This window comes from Homo sapiens, chromosome 6 (assembly GCF_000001405.40).
Source record: "Homo sapiens chromosome 6, GRCh38.p14 Primary Assembly".
Classification (NCBI taxonomy): Eukaryota; Metazoa; Chordata; class Mammalia; order Primates; family Hominidae; genus Homo; species Homo sapiens.
This window is the reverse complement of record NC_000006.12, coordinates 25,077,950-25,101,523: the sequence shown is the minus strand read 5'-3', so window position 1 is coordinate 25,101,523 and position 23,574 is coordinate 25,077,950. Positions and strand designations below refer to the sequence as shown.

The 23,574-nt window shown below is 39.6% G+C and overlaps 1 pseudogene across 1 annotated transcript in view; it reads left to right on the top strand.

The window, feature by feature from the left end:
• The window catches only part of CMAHP (cytidine monophospho-N-acetylneuraminic acid hydroxylase, pseudogene), a 57,326-nt pseudogene extending 36,869 nt beyond the window's left edge, over positions 1–20,457 (top strand). Inside the window, exons 8-13 of the transcript NR_002174.2 lie at positions 4,323–4,463; positions 7,836–8,010; positions 9,512–9,628; positions 14,625–14,740; positions 16,948–17,044; positions 19,645–20,457. The product of NR_002174.2 is annotated as a cytidine monophospho-N-acetylneuraminic acid hydroxylase, pseudogene, transcript variant 1 (transcript). The remainder of the gene's footprint in view (positions 1–4,322; positions 4,464–7,835; positions 8,011–9,511; positions 9,629–14,624; positions 14,741–16,947; positions 17,045–19,644) is intronic.
• The last annotated feature ends 3,117 nt before the right edge of the window (positions 20,458–23,574 follow it).

Here is a 23,574-nt window from a genome sequence, read left to right as displayed (position 1 = left end):
GTGACAGAAGCCAGTCTCAAAAGGTTACATACTAAAAGATTCTATGTATATGATATTCTGGAAAAGGCAAAGTTATAGGGATAGAGAGTAGATCAGCGATTGTGAGGAGGTAGGGGTTAAAGAAGGATTTTACTACAAAGGTGCAATGCAAGGAAGTTTTGGGGGTGATGAACTGTCCTGTATCCCGATTGTGGTGGCAGTTACATGAATCTATATTTGTGTTAAGATCTATAGATCTGTACTCCCTCAAAAAGTAAAAAAAAAAAAAAAAAAAAAAAAAAAGGATCTCAGTAAATTTGAAAAATTAAAGATCAAAAAAGGCAAACATGGTGATTCTTAAAGAGCACCTTAAGCCTTGGTAGTTAAGGCAAGCATATTGGGTTTTTTGTTTGTTTGTTTGTGGGGTTTTTGTTTTTTTGTTTTGGTTTTGGTAGAAACAGAGTCGAGCTCTGTCAACCCAGGCTGGAGCGCAATGGCTGAATCTCAGCTCACTGCATCCTCTGCCTCCCAGGTTCAAGGGATTCTCCTGCCTCAGCCTCCTGAATATCTGGGACTACAGGCATGCACCACCATGCCCAGCTAATTTTTTTAAATTTTTTGTATTTTTAGTAGAGACAGGGTTTCATCATGTTGGCCAGACTGGTCTCCAATTCCTGACCTCAAATGATCCTCCCACCTTGACCTCCCAAAGTGTTGGGATTACAGGCGTGAGCCACTGAGCCCAGCAAGCATATTTGTTTAAATCATATTTGTGATACAATCAAGTTATATTACATGCACATTTTATGGACTTCATAATCCCTTGCAAAAGCAATACATATAATAAATCTATCCATTTTGTGTTATATGGAGTACAATTTTATTTTAAATGCTAAAGGAAAGTTTATAGATGTTTAAACTTTGCTAAGATTTCCTTGATTGTATATAAAATTTATTTGATCCTGAGCTTATGCAGTGACTCATCCCCTAGCTATAACGTTTTCATGAGCAATCATCTGCTTCACAAAAACATTTATTTTATCATACAGTTACTGATATTTTGTGAACAAAGGGCAGGGACTGTTTATGTGCAGGCAGGAAATGCATGTGTCATTTTACCAAGAAAGTACACTTACCTGTATTTGTCTGAATTTATTGGATAATAAGTCGGTCCTCGAGGCGAGTTTTTGTGACAGTAATCTTGTTAGGACTGCCCATGACTTCTCATCAACTGGAAGCAGCAGTACAGTAGAAGGAGCGGTGTACATGGGATTGTGGTTTTGGTTCTACCACCATCTATCTGACTTCTCTGCACTTCATTTGTCTCATTGTTAAAAACCTGTCATCATTTTGACATGCTACGTTCTCTTGCAACGTAGCTACATGTGTATAATTGCTTAATGTGGTCTCTTGCTGATGTGTTTCTTTTTAAACTTCTTGTTGACATTATTTAGCTCTCTTGTATCTTCCAAATTTTTTCAGAAAAGATTGGTCTAAGGTTAAAACATAATTTCTTTTGATCATTGCTCTTTGTTACTTGTAAATTCATTTGTCATTCACTGAGCAGCACTGTGCTAAGTACTGGAGAACTAGAGATAAAATGATTGTCTGTTCTCAGAGTGATGGTCTATTAGAAGAGAAGAACAACTGGAATACAGAATGATCAATGCAGGCAAGGGGATACAGACGCAGGAGAGGAGACGAACACTGGATGAGTCTATGAATGCTGCATTTTAAAGAAGGAGTAGGAACTGACCAGCAAAGATAAAAAGATGCTGGGATGAGAAATTGCAGTTCAGAACAGGAGACAGGGGTTGTATGAGCACTTTAGGACATGCTACGTGATTTGGATTTTTTCCTGGAAGGATAGGGAGCCTGATAGTCGGGTGAGGAACAGGGATGTAATCAGATGTGAACTGGAGGGGTTAGTTTGTATGCCTGTGTGATGGCAAAGGGAAAGGAAGACCAGTTTGGAAACTATTGCAATAACCCAGGAAGGAATAATGAATGGCAGTGGGGAGTGAGAATGCAGATTCAAGAAATATTAAGTAGGTTGAGTTGCAAGGATGTGGAGAAGAATTGGAGGTGGTGGGTACTTGACCACTTAATGTGATGCTGTCATTTAAAGCAATTAAAAGCTGTACTGTTGCATGTAAGCAGTTGGCAAATACTTTCACTTCCCACAATACCCCATCTAGATACTGATTTTATTTTTATTTTATAGAGAGACAAAGACACATCAAGAAGTTACAGAACTTTGTGACCACCACACATTATGTTTTAGGAAGAGTAATGAATAGTAACATAGTTGGAGGCAGGGAAACCTGTTAGTGAACCATGTAGAGACTAAAGGCTGGAAGAAGATGAGACAAGGTGGTGACTGTAACAGTGGGAGGATATTAATGTGTGTAAAAAGAGAAAAGCTACTGACGCCTTTGGTGCAGTGACAGCGTTCTCACCTGTGTCTACAAAATTGATTCCAAGATCATAAATGTGTCACCTTGGTGCTATAGAAATACAAATGATTATGTACTTTTTACTTATCTCACTAAAAATATCTATCACGTCTGTGTAACCAATTTGTAGCTCAAGAAAGTAAAATTCCCTTTAACAGAAATGTCTGTCTATAAAACCCATGTTAGGTGAATCACAGTGACAAATCTCGTTCTCTGGATCTTTCTCTTTCTGCTCCAACACAACCACAATCACCTTCTTGTATGACATTGAAATTGAAGAGTTAAGGCTTTTCAAGAAAGATTGTGGTATGGAATTAGATTTGGGAGACACCACGCTTCTATCAATGCCACAGTTAGAAATTAGATCTCAGCCAGACACAGTGGCTCATGCCTGTAATCCCAGCACTTTGGGAGGCAGAGGCGGGCAGATCACCTGAGGTCAGGAGTTCAAGACCAGCCTGGCCAACATGGCGAAACCCCATCTCTACTAAAAATACAAAAATTAGCTGGGCATGGTGGTGGGCACCTGTAATCCTGCTACTTGAGAGGCTGAGGCAGGGAGAACTGATTGAACCCGGGAGGTGGAGGTTGCAGTGAGCCAAGTTGTGCCATTGCACTCCAGCCTGGGCAACAGAACAAGACTCTGTCTCGAAAGAAAGAAATTAGATCTCAGAGCCCAGGAGTAGTCAAGACCAGCCTCAGCAACAAAGTGAGACCCCATCTCTACAAAATGTCAAAAAATTAGTCTGGCATAGTGGTGCATGCCTGTAGTCCCAACTACTTGGGAGGCTGAGGCAGGAGAATTGCTTGAGCCCAGGAGGTTGAACCTTCAGTGAGCCATGTTCATGCCACTGTACTCTACCTGGATGAAAGAGTGAGACCCCGTTTCAAAAAGAAAGAAAGAAAAAAAGAAATTGGATCTCAAGATGGGTTGCAACTGAGGATATGTGTGTGTAACAAGTAGATTTTTTTTTTTTTTTTTTGAGACACAGTTTTGCTCTTGTTGCCCAGGCTGGAGTGCAATGGCATGATCTCGGCTCACTGCAACCTCCGCCTGCTGAGTTCAAGCGATTCTCCTGCCTCAGCCTCCAGAGTAGCTGGGATTACAGGCACCCGCCACCATGACCGGCTAATTTTTGTATTTTTAGTAGAGACAGGAGAGGGGATTTCACCACATTGGCCAAGCTGGTCTCAAACTCCTGATCTCAGGTGATCCGCCCGCCTCGGCCTCCCAAAGTGCTGGGATTACAGGCATGAGCCACCACACCCAGCCAACAAGTAGATTTTTAATGGTTTTGAATGTAAAAGCTTTTCAGATTTTACTCCCAAAGTTTTGTGGCAACTGTGAGGGCTGAGGCTTCACTGGCTGCACAGCCTGTGTCAGACAGCTGGGTGGAGAGCTGGGGCTGGGCTGACTGCTAATGGTATGGCCTCAAGCAAGTCATGTGTCTTCTCTAAGGCTTAGTTTCTCTCTCTCTAAAATGAGCATCATAATAGTGCCTCATGGGGCATTGTGAAGGTAATCAATTAGTTCATATTAAACACTTAGTATAATGCCTGCCAAATAATAGTTAATCCATATATTAACATTAAATACAGGAGTGTGCAATTCCCACCTATTTTCAGTAGTCAGTCTTGCTACATCTAACTTCAATTCCAATCACCATGCAATTATACTTAAAAACAAAGTATAAGTACAACCTTCTTTGACTGACACTTCTTCTCTAATTAGGGACATTAGCCCAAATATAGTCTTTATTTTTCCATGGAATAAGTGGAGGAAGATTGGAAAGTGAAAATGTGGAGAAAATAAAACAAAAATCTGTACTCATCAGACCATGCACCTGAGAATAAACTTTCTTACATAGGAATGCTTTTATTTCTCAGGTACATCAAGGAAACAAACACCAAAAATGACCCAAATGAACTCAACAATCTTATCAAGAAAAACTCTGATGTGATAACATGGACCCCTCGACCGGGAGCCACCCTTGATCTGGGAAGAATGCTGAAGGATCGAACAGACAGGTTTGGCTTAAATATTTTTAGAGGATAAAAATGTTTTATAATTTTTTTTCAATACTATTAGAAAATAAATGGCTCACCTCTGGCCTCTTGACAGGTTCCTATTTTGTTTGTTATACAGTAAAATCCACACATCACTTTTTATTTTATTTTTTTGAGATGGAGTCTCACTCTGTTGCCTAGGCTGGAGTGCAGTGGAGCGATCTTGGCTCACTGCAACCTCCACCTCCCAGGTTCAAGCGATTCTCCTGCCTCAGCCTCCTGACGAACTGGGATTACAGGCACATGCCACCATGCCCGGCTAATTTTTGTATTTTTAGTAGAGACGGGGTTTCACCATGTTGGTTAGGCTGGTCTTGAACTCCTGACCTCATGATCTGCCCACCTCCACCTCCCAAAGGACTGAGATTACAGGCGTGAGCCACTGCGCCTGGCCTACCTCACTTTTTAAAAATGGAAGTCTTCCCATTTAAATAAAATGAACTATCCAATAAGTATGTCACAAATCTAGGGGAAAAAAAGACTGAATTTTTTCCTAATCTTTTCATCCTATATAACAGTGACTCAAATGTTTTCATCATCTCAGAACCTTACTAGCGAGTAAACAGTGAAGAATCTTTTATTAAGGTCCATTGATACAGCTCAAAAATAAATTATTTTATGAAAGTAAAAAGCAATAAGAAAATTAGTTTTCATATCAGTGCAAATATTACCCAATTTCCCATTCCACAGATAGTACATTTGAACAAGTAACAATAACACACTGGAAATGCAATCCAAGAAAAGTTAACATGATGCCACAAAGCTATATTTTTGAATACTACTCTAAGCCAAATGAAACCATCATGGGCTATTTGGAAATGGACTAACATTTTGGAGAGTGGTACATGCAATTACCAAAAGCTCACCCTCTCCCAGCCTTACCTCTGCAAAGTCAGTATGAATGATAAATCAGCTCATTCTGTCTTTTGCTAACTTCCCATATTAAACGAGTTATCAAATCTGGTCAATTCTCCTTCATAAAGCACTCACAAATCCATCACTCGTCTCCAGCCTCTTCTGCCCTGGCCTTAATTCTGCCTCTCAAAATTTCTCACTTAGACTCCTGCAGTGCCCCCCAACTTGTATCTGTGCCTCCCCCACAACTTCCCTTGATCCATCTTTCATGCCAGTGTCTTCAATCTGCTGGTCACAATCCATTGGCAAGTCACAAAATTAATGCCATTGCTCACAGCCAATGTTTTAAACATGAAATAGAATAGAATAAAATGGAATAGGATAGAAAATACCTGAGTACATTGCATGTAACAAGGGTATTATTTCATGAAACTTCCGTTTCATAGGTACCCTTGGTAGGGGGACTCCAGGGTCCTAATGTAAAATGTAGTCTTTACTGGGATGATAGGCAAAATGTTTGAAAGCCCCTGCTCTTCATTGCTGACAAAGTAACCTTTCTAAAATGCAAACATTCTTGTTTAAAATTCTGTAGGATATCCTTAGTGCCTCCAGGATAAAAGTGTTTTTAATTTTATTTTCCAGGTCTAAAGGTTTTTAATTATTCCAGTTCTTAGCAAGGTATTCAAGAGCCTTCGTCATTTTACATTTGCCTAACTCTCCAAAAATCTTCTCTTTCGATTGCCCCAGCAGTTTTCAAGCTTTAATGAACATAGGAATAATTGAAGAGACTCACATAAATCCAGATCCCTGGACTCCCTTCCCCCACAGATCCTGATTCAGTAGATCTGAGGTAGAGCCCAGGAATCTGCATTTGTATTCTTGTGCCTCACCAAAGCATTCTGGGTGACTAGAAAGTCAACACCGTTGGGTCTTAGAGCTAAGACGAAGTATAGAGGACACACAGAGACCAAGTGCTCTAACTGCCTTGCAAGGGGAAGAGGAAAAAATTGTGACCAAGGAAAGCTTAATCTGGATCTTTGGCATTTAGAGATGAGGAGGATGTCACGAGTAAGTAGAGAGGAGAAAGAGATTCTAGTCAGAAACAATGGCATGTGCTGGAGAAGGCAAGTGTATAATGGGTTTGGTGAATGCGGATACTTTGAATGAGGGCATAAATATATGTGATTCATTCAGAAATGATTTATTGAACTCCTTCTGTGTGCAAGTCATCATCCCAGATACAGAGGATACAGCTGTGAAGAGGCTTTTGCCCTCATGAAGCCATCTGTCTTCCTAAGTAGAGGGCTTGTGAGTGAAAGCAGAGGAAAAGGGTGAGATAGGCGGCAGCCAGGCTCGGAGAAAGGCCCCAGAAGCCAGTGCAGGGAATTTGTCCTGTGAGTGAGGGGAGCTGCAGAAAGTTATAAAGCAAAGAAGGGACATTGCTGAGTTTTTATTTAGAAAAACCATTTCAGCTTTGCAGAGAATGGACTGGGGAACAGGTAGAACCACTGGAGTAAGGGAGAGTGGTTGGGAGGGTGTGGCTTTCTATAGAAAGAGATTAGTGAAGCTCTACACTGAGGCAAGGCAAGGAGTTGCAGAAGAAGATTTGAGATACATTTAGAAGGAAGAAGCTTTAGGATTTGGTAAATTTTTTTTTTTTTTTTTTTTTTTTTTTTTTACAGAAACCAGTACATCTGTAGCTTTGGGCATATAAAAGTATAGTTTTGAGAAGAAGGTCAGCTACTGCCACGTCTTTATGAGATGGGCACCTATTTCCCTCCTTATATTTTCTTTATCCAGATCACATCCTATTCCATTCTTGGGATTTAAAATTCCATGTTTTATGCAAGGATACATCTTCACATGGGATGGACAGAATTCTAGGATTGTCAGAGAACTCTACCACATTACTGGCTGGGTTTAAGGATAAAAACTGGCATCTGTCTATTGGCTGTGCTTTGATTAGGACAGCAAGAGCACCATATATTAGAGACACAAAGTTCTGGGAATTTCTTAAAGATAGGCTAAAGTCATCCATATATCCAACAAATATTTATTGAGCACCTCCTATGGGTTCAGTCATGGTTGCTACTTTCACCAAACTTATATTCTAATTGGGGTGGGGAGGCACGAATGTGCAGGCATCCACAAAATCATGGCCAGATTATAAGCAACATTTCTGTAATTTACTTGTTTGAACAAAGAGGCCCAAATTAGTGGTTTTCACACGTTTTTTTCTAGACATAGACTTCTTTCTTTGAATGAAATCTGACTTAGAAACCTATCACACTAGACAATAGGAGCTGCTCTGATTTAGGCAATGGTGGGACCACTGAGGCACTTTTGTGGGACGCCTTGTGAATTATCTGAGGGGTCTCAAAGCTGCTAGTCTGGTTGACTTTTGCTACTTAAGTACTAACTTTTGCCTTCATTACTTGTTACTTTCTTTCACTGTTCTCACACCTTTGTGTCTTTAAGCAAGGGCATCATAGAGCCTCCAGAGGGGACAAAAATTTACAAGGATTCCTGGGATTTTGAACCTTATTTGGAAATCTTGAATGCTGCTCTAGGAGATGAAATATTTCTTCACTCATCCTGGATAAAAGAATACTTCACTTGGGCTGGATTTAAAGATTACAACCTTGTGGTCAGGGTATGCTATTGTTTGTCTTTGCTTTCTTGTATAATGGAAATACATGAACACCCCTTTGTTTTCCAATAAGCATTTATTAAGTCCTATCAACTGCCTAACAGAGAACAGATTTCACAATTGATCAGCAATCTCTTGTTGAATATTTAGAGAATGTACTGAAGTCCCTAAGTTTTTCTTTTGGAACATCTTTTATCTGCTATCACCACGTGTTTTTTGTTGTTTGTGTTTGTGAGTGTTTTTGGCATGGCAGGAACAGCTATTTAAACTGTGGGGCTAGAAGGTAGGATCCACCCAAAGAGGTAATCGCCCGGAGCAAGGTGAGGTAGAAGCAGGTAACCCTTGTCTGCAGCTATGCTGAGGCTGAATTGCACAAATTAAGAATTAGGCCTAGGTCTGCAGCTTAATCTAGCCCTGACACATACATACAGAGCCACAAGCTAAGAAAGAGTTCATGTTGTAACCTAGTCACCAAAACTGGACAGATCTCCAAAAGCAAACTAAATACTAGCAGACAGAGGGTGCAAGACAAAGAGGAGGTCTGAAATGGGACAGGAGTAACTGCAAAGTCAGTGAGTAACCAGCTACCTGTGGCTTATATGAGATGCCTGAAGTTGTACAGGGGAGCAAAGTTTAGGGATGTCATCAGGAAATGGACAACACTCACACTCTTAAGACACAAGTATTCATTACCCTCAGGGTAAGAAGTACTCCCAAGTTTATCTTTCAATTCCTGAACATTAATGCCAGATAATACTTGCTATTCTCAAAAGCAATGATCCCCAGAAACCTAGCTGGGGCCCATGGCCAGTCTGTGACAAAGTTTTTGCTGGCAAATAGTGAAATAAGTAAGAGAGCAGGTATGTATATCAACTCTCTTTTCTTGGGATGAATTGTTATTATTCCATGACTAAGTCCTTTCTATTTGGGGGTATTAAAACATTATTTCTTCAATGAAATAAAAGGGTAGCAGAGGCAAGGTTTTTTTCAGTCCTCACTTAGCCAAATAAATGGTTGATATCTATATTAGTTCCCAGATAATTTCTAGAAAATTGTCTTTGAAATCTAATGACCTAGGAAGCATTGGTAAATGGTATTTTCATTAGGACAATTGGTATGAAAAAGAGAAAAACTTTTGACAGTTTTTTATAAAACATTTTCAGTGAAACCATTTCTATTTAGCTGCTATATGACAATGAGAAACATCTCACATTTATTTCCTCACCTGCAAATTTATGGTGGGATTTGATGTCTCATTACTAATAGTACTTCAGATAGCGATAACCAGCTGTATACATTTGATGTTAGTGACATGAAGCAGTTTTGCTAATATAGACTAGGATTTGAATGTTGCAGTTCAGGTGAGAGAAGAGACTCTTAATTTCCCATTCATTCCTATCATCTATCATTTAAGAGCATTTGAGTCTTACACATTCTTAGAATTTTTAAAGACCTTGACCACTTGATTGATATTCTTCTCTTTACCATGTTGTCATTTGCACAGATGATTGAGACAGATGAGGACTTCAATCCTTTTCCTGGAGGATATGACTATTTGGTTGACTTTTTAGATTTATCCTTCCCAAAAGAAAGACCACAACGAGAACATCCCTATGAGGAAGTAAGCAGCAACACTGGTGGAAGTCTGCTTTTCTTCCTTCTTTCTTTCTTTCCTTCCTTCCTCCCTTCCTTCCTTTCCTCCTAAATAAACTTATAATTTTAGAATAACTTTAGATTTACAGAAAAGTTACAAGGATATTAATTATAATTAATACAATATTAATTATAATTAATATAATTATAATTAATACAAAGTATTATTAACAACTCACTTTACTATGGTACATTTGTCACAACTAACAAACCAATATTAAAACATTGTTATTGATCAAAGTTCACACTTATTTCTTTATGAGCCATTCCCAAAGATTGACTTCTCTGTCTGCTCACTTCCAAACACCTGCTCAACCTAAGCTGTTATTAGACCTGTGAGCATTGATCTCTACCTTCATTTTCCTGTGCCCCTCCCAATGGGTGTCTCTGGAAAGGGAGTTAGATCAACATGAAGCAACACATATTTTATTGAATTCAAGTTCTGAACAAATCCCTCGCCAGTGGCAGCATTATGTAAAGATCCATGACATTGGAGACAGTGTCAAGATGGGGACTGATGCCCCTTTCTGCTGATCATGATTCCTGATTAGGAGGCTTTGAGCAGTTATTTAAGCTGTCTGAGCTTTAGGGGTTTTTGTTTTTGTTTGCTTGCACAGGGCTTGCTCCCCCCTTGCCAGTTTGTCGTGATAGTTAAATGACATAATATATGTGAGCATGCATTGTAATTTAAAATTGTCTATGAATGTAAGAATCATTAGTTATGAGGATATACGGTCTGCCCTTAAACTTATTGTATGTGCCATTTAAATGTGTGATGTCCTAAATGTAGAGGTTTAAATATACCTTCACCTAATAGATGTAATAAATGTGCTCTTGAACTACATTTTAATAAATTGACTAGTACTTGCTATTGAAGAAATCCTATATGGAAACTTCAGTAAAAGTAATAATCTGCTACCTGATTTATAGGTAATAATAATAAAAAAACTGGCACTGGGCATGGTGGCTCACACCTGTAATCCCAGCACTTTGGGAGGCCAAGGCAGGTGGATCCCCTGAGGTCGGGAGTTTGAGACCAGCCTGGCCAACATGGTGAGACCCCATCTCTACTAAAAATACAAAAATTAGCTGGGCGTTGTTGTGGGCACCTGTAGTCCCAGCTACTTGGGAGGCTGAGGCAGGAGAATCGCTTGAACCCAGGAGACGGCAGTTTCAGTGAGCCGAGATCATGCCATTGCACTCCAACCTGGGCAACAGAGCAAAACTCGGTCTCAAAAAACAAACAAAAAAACTGGATTTTTACAGGTAAGAAAATCCTGTGTGAGGCACCGTATAGATGATAAATAGGCTTACATCTTTTTAGACAAAATAAATCTTTACATTTATTGCTTTATATATCAAATACTTACCAAGCTTGCTTTATGCCAAGCACAGTGTTAAACACTTTGGAAATGTTAAGACATTTAATCCAACAACAACCCTGTGAACAGATACTACTATCTGCCCCCATTTTGTGGGGGAAGAAACTGGGATTATAAGAGTTAGAATAACTTGCCCATGGTTATACAGCTAATGAATGGTGATGCGGGGCTTTAACTCAAGCAGTCTAGCTCAAAGTCTATGCTCTTAGCCACTGTGTAGCCTTTCAAATCTGAATTTACAAAACCTATAAATTGAGGTTTCTTAGCCTCAAGAGATTCACCTTTGAAAATTTTTAAATAACTTCATTTAAAATATTTAATTTGGAAAAAAAATCACTTTTTCACAGCTTTCCATAATGCATCTGCTGGATAAAGCAAGCAGCAGCTCTGTTGCATATTTAAATACACCATGGGGCAAAATCATGATGCCTGCTCTGCACATGGTACTGTTATACTGTGGCTTGAGGGCTTTTATCTCCCAGGATTTTAGGGAGAGTTCTATATGCTGAGGTTTGGTTAAAGAGGTTATGCCTATGTGTGGAAGAGCTCCTTTTCTTGCTACCCGGAGACTTCTCATATTGCCTCCCTCCTGCCACCTTTTTGGAGGTATTAATTGCCTTTCAAACTCATCATTTCTATCACACTAACTCTCCATTCTTAAATGCATGGCTCCTGTAGCTCTCCATCCTCCTGCTCCGACCTGGAAGGGCTCCTCTCTAGCTCTGCTGCAAATCTGCTACCTTTCACTGCCTCCAGACCCCACCCATGCCTTTCCCTTCCTTGCTTCACTTCTATGTGGGACTTTCTGCTTAACTGTCTCCTGCCTCATGGTGTGTAAGTAAGTTTCAGCATGTAATTCTGGGTGACTAATCATTTTCCATAGACACCGGAAGGCATTGCTCCTTTGGCTTCCAGTTATAGACAAGGTTGCTCTAAAGAAAACTTATGCTAGCTTGATCCTCCTTTCTTTGTGGGTGACTTTTAAGAATTACAGGATTAGTCCATATTTACTGATAAAAAGACTTTTTTCAGCTGATTTGGGGCTCTTATGTATAGGTGTAGGATCTGTCATCCAGTAGGCTCTACTTACAGAGGGCTCGCACACTGGTGCAAGGCACATCTCATAAACTGGTGAAGCTGGGGCAGACTGCATCAAGTAGAATGCGGGATGAGAAGGGGGCAGGCCTGCTGAGCTCCGGCTGATCTGAAATTTCCAGAGAACTTGGAAATCTGGATTTTCATGTGAAATACCCAAAGTTATAAATGTAGAAAGCTGAGTCAATGTTCTTAAAGAGTTATAGACTACATGAAATGAGAGCTAGGCTGTATTTGGCCAAAGGATCATCAGTATGCTTTAAGCTGTGAAGGTGAGGAGAGAAGCCAGCTAGGGGACCCCCGAGTGCAAAAATGTGGAGGCTCTTGCTTTCAGCATCACAAACACACTACCTGCCCTTGTTCTCCCCCTACCCCAAAATTGATTCTATGTATTGAGAGAACTGTAGAAATATATTTGACCTGGGAGCCATATATAGGGGTAGAGAAGGGGCCAGCTATCTCATGGACATAACTTTTGTGCTTGCCCTCCTGTCATCCGCAGTACCTACTTCTCTTCCCTCCACATCTGAACACCCCTCCATGTACTGTCTGGGATTGTACAGCCTCTGCCCTGCATCTTCGGTTTCCACTTGTCTGCATGCTTTCTAGATTCACGTAATTAGTTGAATTCTCCTGTCAATGAATCACTTCCTTTTCTTTTCAATGTGGCAGTTTATTCCTGTATAATTGCTTTGCAACATTTTAGTTGGATCTGGAAATGCAGAGGAGATAGGTTATGCACGCAATTTGTCCGTCATTGTGAACCAATAGTCTTCTCCTTAGCCCAGTGACAGTACCTCCTTGTTTTCCTGAATATTCTTTTGCATTCTTTTGGAGTTCCTCTTTCCCCAGCCACTGCTTAAGTCTCTTGTTTCCTTCCAGGACTCTGTGTTCATTCCACTGTTCTTCCCAAGTCTCTTCCTGGGTAAACTCACCTGCTAACATCACTTCTCTGTTAATGACTCCAAAAATAATCCATATGTCCAGCCCAGAGCGCTCTCTGGCTACCTCCAGTGCTGTCAAGCTTTGGGTTCTTAATAGTCAACTGCCTGCTAGATATAATTGTCTGAATTTCTGAATGCTTAATACATAATTTTCAACTTGTTCAAAGTTCAATTCCTCATCTTCCTTCTTTAAAATGTTCTTTTTCCTTTTTCTATCTGATCGTTGGTAATATCATTCCCCAAGTCAGTCAAGCTAGAAACAAATGAGTAATCTTTGGTTCTTCCCTTTTCCTTACATCCCCAAATCTAATCAGTCATCTAGACCTTTCCATTTTACACCCCAAATATTTCTTAAATCTACTTCCAATTCTCCTGTGTGCTTCTCTCCCAGCTAAAAGGCCAAAAAAGGCCATTTACCCTGCATTGGGAGGAACCAGGTCCTGGTACTGCATCTTAGCCAGGCCGACCTTAACCTGACCAAATTGTAGAATCATGTTTCTAAACCTCTATTAGCAAAACTCTGCCCTATGTTTGTAACCTCAGTTCACGATGGATATAATTGTTTTATACAAATGGTGCAAAAAAGAGAAATAGATCTAAAAATGCCAAACTTCCAATCATTCTGTGTCATTTAATAGCCTGTCACTTATGGAAAGTTTGCCTCTACTGATATTAGCATGATATTTACCGGGAGAAAATTTGTTGCAGACACTGAAAGGGCTCCTCTAAACTCTAACATTGGTGCCGATGGATTGTTAAAACTATGTGCAACCAAGGATAACTTCTCTTTATTTTCTTTATATAAGTTATCTCATTTTTTTCTCTCAACAGTCTCATAATAGAGAAACGGAGGCTTAGCAAGCTTAAGGTCACATAATTAGTAAGTGCAGGGCTGAGACTCAAGACCATCTCTGCTTGTCTCCTAATCCTGTGCTGCTTTGGCTCTTCAACAGTTTAAAAGTTGGGATTCTTTAAGGATAAGGATCTTGACCACTTGATTTAAAGTAATCCTGTTCTATGACAGGCCAGAAACTATAGACTGTTGTGAGCTTCCAGGCTCTGCTTTGCCTCTGAATGTTCAGGTGGAGACTTGAACACTCGGCTTTTAGAATGACGATAACAGCAAAGATTTCTTGAGTGCTTACTATGTGCCAGGCTTTAAGTATTTTATATACATCCTCACAACAATCCTATGAGGCATGTTCTATTATTGTCTTCATTTTATAGATGAGAAAGCCAAGGCACAGAACGGTGACCAAGATCACACAGCTAGAGTCTGGATTTGAACCCATGAATCTGCAGTTTGTGCTCTCAGTCAGATGCTCCCCCTGCTCTTAATCCATTTCCTGTTTTCCTTCTTTCGAGTCCTGCTGCACTTAGCATCTTTCCTTTTCTCCTCAGCCTGTGATATCTGCTCCCAGAGACTCTTCTCCTTGGCTCTCCGTGCCTCTGCCATCATGGGCAGCTGCTCCTCCCAGGGACAGGAGGGATCCATACTCTGCTTCCTGGGTTGCCCCTGCTAGTGGTTCCATGTCTATTTCAGATCCATAGCCGGGTGGATGTCATCAGACACGTGGTGAAGAATGGTCTACTCTGGGATGAGTTGTATATAGGATTCCAAACACGGCTCCAGCGGGATCCTGACATATACCATCACCTGTAAGTCTGGAAGCACCTGGCGCCCCCAGGCCATTGCTGAGGACGCTGTGGATATGCATAAGCAGTCAGTGACTGCCGAAGCCCCCAGATTCTGACTAATGTGTGAGATTCCACCATTAGAGCTTCATTCCTTTGTTAGTTTGTTAAAAAGCAAATCTGGTTAGGAAGGTATAACATTAAAGAGTCATTTATACATTCATGTGAATGTGTTATTGCACCCTTCTGGAAGTGGGTTTTGGTATAAGAAAGAGAAATACATTATAAGAGGGAAAGGGTATGTTTGCCAAGACAAGAATGAGTATTTGTGTGGCAAAGACATGGTCATTGAATTAGTGAATTCCTGCATCACATTTTTGTCTGTGCTCACCTCTGAGCAAGAATTTGGTGGGCTAGTTGGTTTAAGGGAATGGCCCACTGAGTTTCTGTCTGCCTGCACTTCAAAACTGTTTAAGTCTTTAGGATCATATCTAGAATATTTGCACTGAAATTCAGAAAGGGCAATTTGCCATTTTTATATTTGCAAAATAATCACCAAAGGAAAGAGTACTTTTTCTCATTACCACAGATCCTCTGAAAAAAATGCAGAAATTTAATTTTAAAATTCTAATTATTTAAAATGTATAAGCAAAAGTTTGTACTCTGAGCTTGCAAGCAGAGGCATTTATTAAAATTTCTTTTTTACTTATTTCCTTTTGAATGTTTTTAAATGATATGAAAAAGCTTAAGAATGTGGAGCTATGTAAAATAAAAAGGAAGTAACCCCACCAAGCACCTCTCAGGAAACCCTGTTTCCTGCCCTTCCCTCCACCCACTCTTATGGTAAGCTTTGATAATAGCTCAGTGTGTATCCTCCCAGGCCTGTTTCTGGACATAGCAACATTTCTCTACATATATTTGTTTTCAATAAGATGTCCCACATAGTTGGTAGTGAGGGAGTGTTATTGTTGCCGTTGTTTTTATTTTTTTTTAATTTTGGCAAAGCACACACCACCTTTGGGATGTTGCTATTGTTTTTAAATGAAATCCTAGTACAGATATTCTGCAACTTGCATTTTTTACTCATCAATATATTTTAGATAGCCTTCCACATTGGGACATCCAGGTCAACCTCAAATCTTTTAACAGCTGTAAGACATTCCAAGTTTTTTTCATTTTCAACGGATCATATACGTAACTCTTGTTCTAGAAAGAAAGGAATCTGGCAACTTTTGAGGGGATCTTGGGGATTTTTTTTTTCTTAAGAAAATAATTCCATCTTAGAAATCGCTAAACTCTATCTTGTTCTATTGTGTTTTGGTAACAAGGGTCACAAATATAAGATGTCATCATAAATATTGGGAAGCAGTCACAGTCCACTTTATCTTGTTGCTCTGAAAATGGGATTTGTGAATTTACTAAACATTCTTCTGGTTATAAAAATAATACATATCCACTGTCAAAAATTTGAAAAAATATTTTTAAATGAAAAAACTACAAATAATCCCACTACCCAGAAATAATAATTGATATTTTGGTGTCTAGCTAATCTTTCTTTTTTTGCTTCCAAGCACATATACCATACATACTTTTCTACCTGTGTGTTTATCAACGCGATTTTCCACAGTATTGTATTTTCCTACATCATTTTTAATGCCTGCTTACCTGATACCACATACCTATATTAGCACTTTATTTAACCTCTTTGACCTGTAAGTCATTTCTAACTTTTCACTATTTGAAACAATGGCAAATAATCATGTGGATGTGTCTTGCACACATTCATAGTGACTTCTGTAAGTTAAATTCCTAGGAGCGGGGCTGCTGGATTCTATGAATACAGCGTCTAGGCTTTTAGTGCCCTCTGCCAAATCGTTCTTCGGGAAGCCAGTTCACCTTTCCAAAAATAATGTATGAGAGAATACATTTACCTGTACCTTCACTAATACTAGATTCTGTTGCTTTTGTGTACAAGATATAGATCTAGATTTTCACATATAAGGATTCCTTAAAGCAAGGAACATCATAGTACAATAAAAATAAGACAAAATCTCGTTCAAGGAGCTGTCTGTATTCAACACCCTGAAAGTTCTGAGCTACATCAACAGCTGGAACAGTACAGAAACACTATCTCTCAGGGAGGACAGAGTACCAGGTACCAAATAGATCCTGGCAAAGGAACAGGCATGGAAGTTTCCAGAGCACATTCCCATGCTTTATCTCTCTTACAGGTTTTGGAATCATTTTCAAATAAAACTCCCCCTCACACCACCCAACTGGAAGTCATTCCTGATGTGCTGTGAGCAGAATGGGCCTGTGATTTTGCAAGTAAGGAATATCCTGTGGGTTTGGGAGCTGTCCTACCGTGCATCCCGTGACACTCTCTTTGACACCTAAATTAAGCAGACGCGTTGCCTGACAGAAACCCGACTTTTGCGGGACTGAGAACAGCTAACATTACAAGACCATTCAAGTGTTTTAAAAAGTAAATAGGCTAGGCGTGGTGGCTCACGCCTGTAATCCCAGCACTTCAGGAGGCCGAGGCTGGTGGATCACCTGAGGTCAGAAGTTTGAGACCTGCCTGGCCAACATGGTGAAACCACGTCTCTACTAAAAATACAAAAATTAGCCAGGCATGGTGGTGCTTGCCTATAATCACAGCTACTCAAGAGGCTGAGGCAGGAGAATTGCTTGAACAAGGGAGGCAGAGGTTGTAGTGAGCCGAGATTATGCCATTGCACTCCAGCCTGGGAGACGAGCAAAAGTCCATCTCCCCACCCCCACCATCAGAAAAAAAAGTAAATCAGTAGTGCATCCAGTCCAGAGTCCATAGAACCTTTGGCCTGGTTGAGGTAAACATACAGCCAATAAGTAAACAAAACCAAAATCGTCCAGGTTGTGAGTGTTTAAAACATAATCCTGAGTACACGAGGGAAAGCAGCAACAAAAACTGAAGAGAGACAAACTAAAAACCGAGGGTGAGATGGAAAGCAGCAGCTCCTCATTTCCAATAGACCTCTCTCCTCTTTTGGACTAATGACGATGAACTTGCCTGGCACAAATCAGATTTGACATTCCTTTCCTGCAGCCTGAGATATGATTTTATTAAGTGAATTATAAAACCTGTCTCAGCTGGGCTCAGTGGCTCATGCCTGTAATCCCAGCACTTGGGAGGCTGAGGTGGGCAGATCACTTGAGGTCAGGAGTTTGAGACCAGCCTGGCCAACATGGTGAAACCCCATCTCTACTAAAAATACAAAAATTAGCCAGGTATGGTGGTGGGTGCCTGTAGTCCAAGGTACTTGGGAAGCTGAGGCATGAGAATCGCTTGAGCCAGGGAGACGGAGGTTGCAGTGAGCCAAGACTGTGCCACTGCACTCCAGCCTGGGCCACAGAGGGAAACTCTTGTCTAAAAAAAAACCTGTCTCCTCATGCTTCTGATTGAAGGGACCACATAATATGACTGCAAAGACAGTAAACTCCTTGACTCATGCATTTATTTATTCCTCAAACAGGTATCCCATCCCATTGTGTTATAATAATCTATTAATTGTTTTTCCCAGTAGATACTGAGATTCTTAAAAATAGGAACTGTCACCTGGGTAGACCTAGTGCCTAGCACAGTGCTGAGCACACGTATGGTTTTATTCCTAATATGAATTCAAGGAAGGAAGGTACAAGTGAATTTCTCTTTCCCATTGTCAGCATGAGTCGCCTCTTAAAATAGGCTTCAATGTCTTTAGCAGTAAAATTAAGGTTTGAATTAGAATATCTTTTACATACTTTCCAGTTGTAAAGTTACTTGTTCCATATTCTAATCTAGCATAAAGCACTGGGCTAGAACTTCTAAGTTATAATTATAAGCTAGAAGGGATGCTAAGGAAATCCACATGCAACTTTATTACAAGGTAGACTCTCATGAGCACTGTATTTGTTGTACAAACTGATTGTCGGGAATACTGAGGAAAGAAGGATTGCATGTGAGGTTTTGAGATGACCAGGAAGAACGTTGTAGAGAGATAGCATTTGAGGAGTAAGGGGTAGGGGATTGGCTTAAAGATTGGGAAAAGTTTTAAACAAGCTAAAACAGAGAGAGAGGAAGAATATCCCAGACAGAGAGAGTGGGTGAGGTTAAAAGGTGGAAAAATACAAGGTGAATTCATGCAATGGCAAGTCTTCCTCATATGGCACCGAAGTAAGGGAAACCAGGAAAGGGGCAGGAGTGGGAACTGGGAGAATAAGGAGAGTTAAGAGGGCTCAATGCAGATGCTGAGCAGGTTTAGCCATTGTGAAAAAGCAACAGGAATAAAAGCTAAGGAGGCAGCAGCTAGAGCAATAAGTCCAAGGTCTTAGAGATAGAGCAGTTTTGAAGGAAGACAAATTAAAGGTGTTTCTGTATAAGTGGGTGAATGAAGCAGAGCAGAGATGAAGGCAATAGAAATTAAGAGATCACTGTGTGCATTTGGACATTGCTGTCTCAAGGAGACTTGGAGTCCGACCTTTTGAGTTAAAACTCCAGCTCTGTCACCTACCATATGACCTTGGACAAATTATTGGATCTCTTTGTGTTCCAGATTTCCATCTGTAAAATGAATGTAATAGCACTTACCTCACAGGGTTATGTCATAGTATAAGGCATGTCTAGAAAAGTGACATGCCATGGTAAGTGAACAATAGATGTTGACCATATCAGCCCCATGAAATAAACAGGAATACCATGTGGCCCACAGTCAGTTGGTAAATCCTTAAGACTTGGGAGGAGGGTCATATTCCAGTTCACATTCCAGTTTTAGATTCTCGCTTATCTTAAAGCATTATAGACCTTGAACTAAATAAGAATAAAAATTTGCCCCAGTGCAGTAAGAAAATGAAAAGGCATTGAAATGAGATTCATACTGTTGTTCATTAATAATATCTTCATTTCACAGGAATGCAAAACCACATGAAAATTTCAAGAATTCACTGATCTGATGCAAAATAAAAATTTATCATTACATCTTGAACCCAGGAAGCTTACAGCAAAGAGACTATGCTTTATGACGTCAGCAATAGATAATTCCACGTTGCCTTTGTGATTTGTATATATAGCTTACATTTGTGGATCACTACATAGCCAGATTCAAAAATATTTTACTTGTTCCATCCACAGTTCTCTACAGAAAGAACCAATGAACCCAATAGGAACAAATTCTCTGTGGAAAACAAAGCATAGCTGTAGTAGATACGAATCCAATCACAGAGGAAACAGGAAGAGAAAAACATCCAAGACTACAGTGAAAACTGGAAATGGTCTGTTTTCGTGATATTCGTATGATTAAGATGCAAATTTTTTCTTAGGAAAATGTGATTGTTAACTAGCATTCTGTTTTACATGTTGACATTTCTAACACACACACCACTGATTTGAACTTCAAAATTTATTTTCTGATTATATATGCTAGGTCTGATTCTGAAGATACAAGAATTCAATGGTGGAATTTGTCTCCTGAAATTTCTAGATTCATAATTAGAAGTGTTTATTACCAACTTCTCACTTAGATTAACATCAGTGATGTTTGATTATTCTGGTTAACCGCTCACATGCATAACAATAATGCTAGAAATTCAGGAATTATAATTTTGTGATTTATACTGTGTGGTAAATTATTCAGTTCTCACTGCAAATAAATATAATGTATATCAATGTAATGTAGGTCAGAATGTCTATGGTGAGCAAATAAAAGATTATTTTAAAATATGAATTTTTCTCATACTAAGTCTATCTTTATTCTCCTGCTATCTTTCCAGTTCTCTCCTTCTGATATCCTGATACCACCAGTTCTTTGACATCACCAGGACCACCAGTTCACTGACCTGATATCAGCTCCTATGTCCTCACTTCCCTTTGCACTCCTCTCGCATATACCCCACATTTCCTGCTGTCTCCCCATCTCCAGTATCTCATGTCTCACTTCCATTACTTAAATAACCATGAAATCATCTTTCTACTTGGCTCTCACATCCACTCTGTCAACAAATTGTCACCTCCATCTTCAGAATATACCCAGGGTCTGACCAATCTCTACCACTTCCACTGCTACCAAGATCAGAAGAGGAAGGAAACTCAAAGGTACGATAATCTTGGCATTAGGGACTGATTTTCCTCCACAGACACCCGCCAATTCCAGAAAAGGCCAAGAAACTGAATGCCTCAAAATTTGCTCAAAGCCATTTACTGGGAGATGTCTCGTGGTCGACACATTCCTAGTATGAAGTCATCCTAAAGAGTGACAGGGAAGCTGCTAGCTCTTGTGTGCTGCCACCACACCTGGCCCCCTAACTTGTTTTTTGAAGCAAAAATATTGACACCAACACGTGACAAGACCATGTGGGGAAACAAAAATTTCAGGACAATTTCAGAAATGATCATAGATGCAAAATTCCAAAGTATCAACAAATCCAACCTAGCAATTTATAAAAAGGATGATTTATTACAATTCAGTTGGCTTTAATCTCAATGCAAAGTTAGTTTCACATGTGAAAATCAACCACATTAACTGAATAAAGGAGAAATTTTAGTCCCGGCATGGTGGCTCACGCCTGTGATCCCAGCACTTTGGGAGGATGAGGTGGGAGGATCACTTGAGTGCAGGAGTTTGAGACCAGCAATTTCAGACCAGCCTGGGCAACATAGAAAGACTCTACAAAAAAATTTTTTTAAATTAGCTGTTCCTCATGGCATGCACCTGTAATCTCAGCTACTCAGAAGGCTGAGGCAGGAAGATCATTTGAGCCCAGGAGGTGGAGGCTTCAGTGAGCCACGGTCGTGCCACTGCACTCAGCCTGGGCAACAGTGAGACCCTGATTATAAATAGAAGAAATTGTATAGGATTATGTCAATTTATGTACAAAAAAGTTTGATAAATGCTTTAATAGCCATTCGTAAACAAGTGAATAAAGAAATTCATAGTAACTAGGAATAGAAAAGATTTTTCTCTGAAAGAAACACTACAGCAAATATTTTAGCAGTGAAATGTTTAAACCTTCCCAGATTGGCAGTATTTCAAGGAGACCAGCCATCAACACTTCTTTGCAATATAATGAAAATTCTAGTCAGTGCAATAAGGCAAGAAATATGAAGTGTAATTATTAGAAGAAATAGATTAGTTGCAGAGAATATTCTTGTGAACACAGAAAATTCAAAACATTCTACAGATAAGTAGAAATAATGTTTAGCAAGGTTTCTGATATAAGGTCAATATACAGAAAAAAACTAATATTTATCAGTGATCCACAGAAAATAAAATTTTAAAGATACCTTTTATAACAGCATCAAAATATCAAATACCTAGGAATAAATCTAATAAAGTATGTGCACTATCTCTAAACAAAAGCTACAAAACAATATTCAGATAAAACCTAAATATCAAAGACGTAATAGAGGGACATGTCATGCTAATGAACTGGAAGACTCAATTTTTTTTTTTTTTTTTTTTTTTGAGACAGAGTCTTGCTCTGCCACCCAGGCTGGAATACAGTGGCCCGATCTCAGCTCTCTGCAACTTCCACCTCCAGGCTTCAAGCAATTCTCCTGCCTCAGCCTCCTGAGTAGCTGGGATTACAGGTGCCTGCCACCACACCCAGATAATTTTTGTATATTTAATAGAGATGGGGTTTCACCATGTTGGCAAAGCTGGTCTCGAACTCTTGACCTCAGGTGATCCGCCCATCTTGGCCTCCCAAAGTGCTGGGATTACAGGTGTGGGCCATCATGCCCTGCCAAGACTCAATATTTTTTAAAGTCAAATTTACCCAACAACTTTTAAGCCTTTCAACAGGTATTTGTTTTATGGAAATTAAGAGGCAGTTTCTAAAATTTACATAGCAATAGAAAATTTCAGGAGTAACCAAGGCACTCTTTAAAGAAGATGAGGAATAAGGAGGATAGGAAGAACGAGAGAAGGAGGTGGAGAGGGAGGAGTAGAAGAAGATGGTATGTGTTCTACAGGATAACAAACTTATAGTAATTTGACAGTAGGGTAGTGGCTCAAGGGAGACAAATAGATCAATATAACATAATGGAAAGCACAAAAACTCAGGCAAACATGGAGACTTACTTTCAGACGAAGATGGTACTGCAGATCAGTGGAGAAGGTGCAGTCTTTTAAATAAATATGCTAGTTGAATTGGATATCATATGCTGGGAGCCTTGACCCCTATGTTATAACAGAAACAAGGAATCAGTGTGAGGTGAATTATAGATCTAAATGTGAAAAGCAAAACAATAAAACTTCTACATGATGATATATGGAAATATCTTTGTGACCTTGCTGACAAGATTTCTTAAACAGAACACAAACAAGCACTAACCATCAAGAGAAAAAAAATGAACAATTAGACTACAGTAAATATAAACTCTATTCATGGCTCACAGCTGTTTACCCAAGAGAAATGGAAATATGTTCACAAAAAACTTAATGTTTGCAGCAGCTTGATTCAGAATTACTCCTAAACTGGAAACAATTCAAATACCTGTCAACTGGCACATGGCTAAACAAAAGGTAGTGCATCTATACAATGACATACTATTTCATAATTAAAAGGAATAAACTGTTGACACATGCAACATGAATGAATCTTGAATGCGTTACAGCACATGAAAGAAGCCAGACTCAAAATACAAATATATAGATGGAGAACAAATCAATGGTTGCCAGAGTGTAGTGGGAGGGAGAGGCAGTTACTATGAAGGAGCAGCATGAGTAAAATTTTGCAGGGGATGGAACCGTTCTGTATCTTGATGGTGGTGGAGGATACACAACTCTATGCATTTGACAAAACTCATAGCACTGTACATCTAAAAGCGTAAATTTTATGAT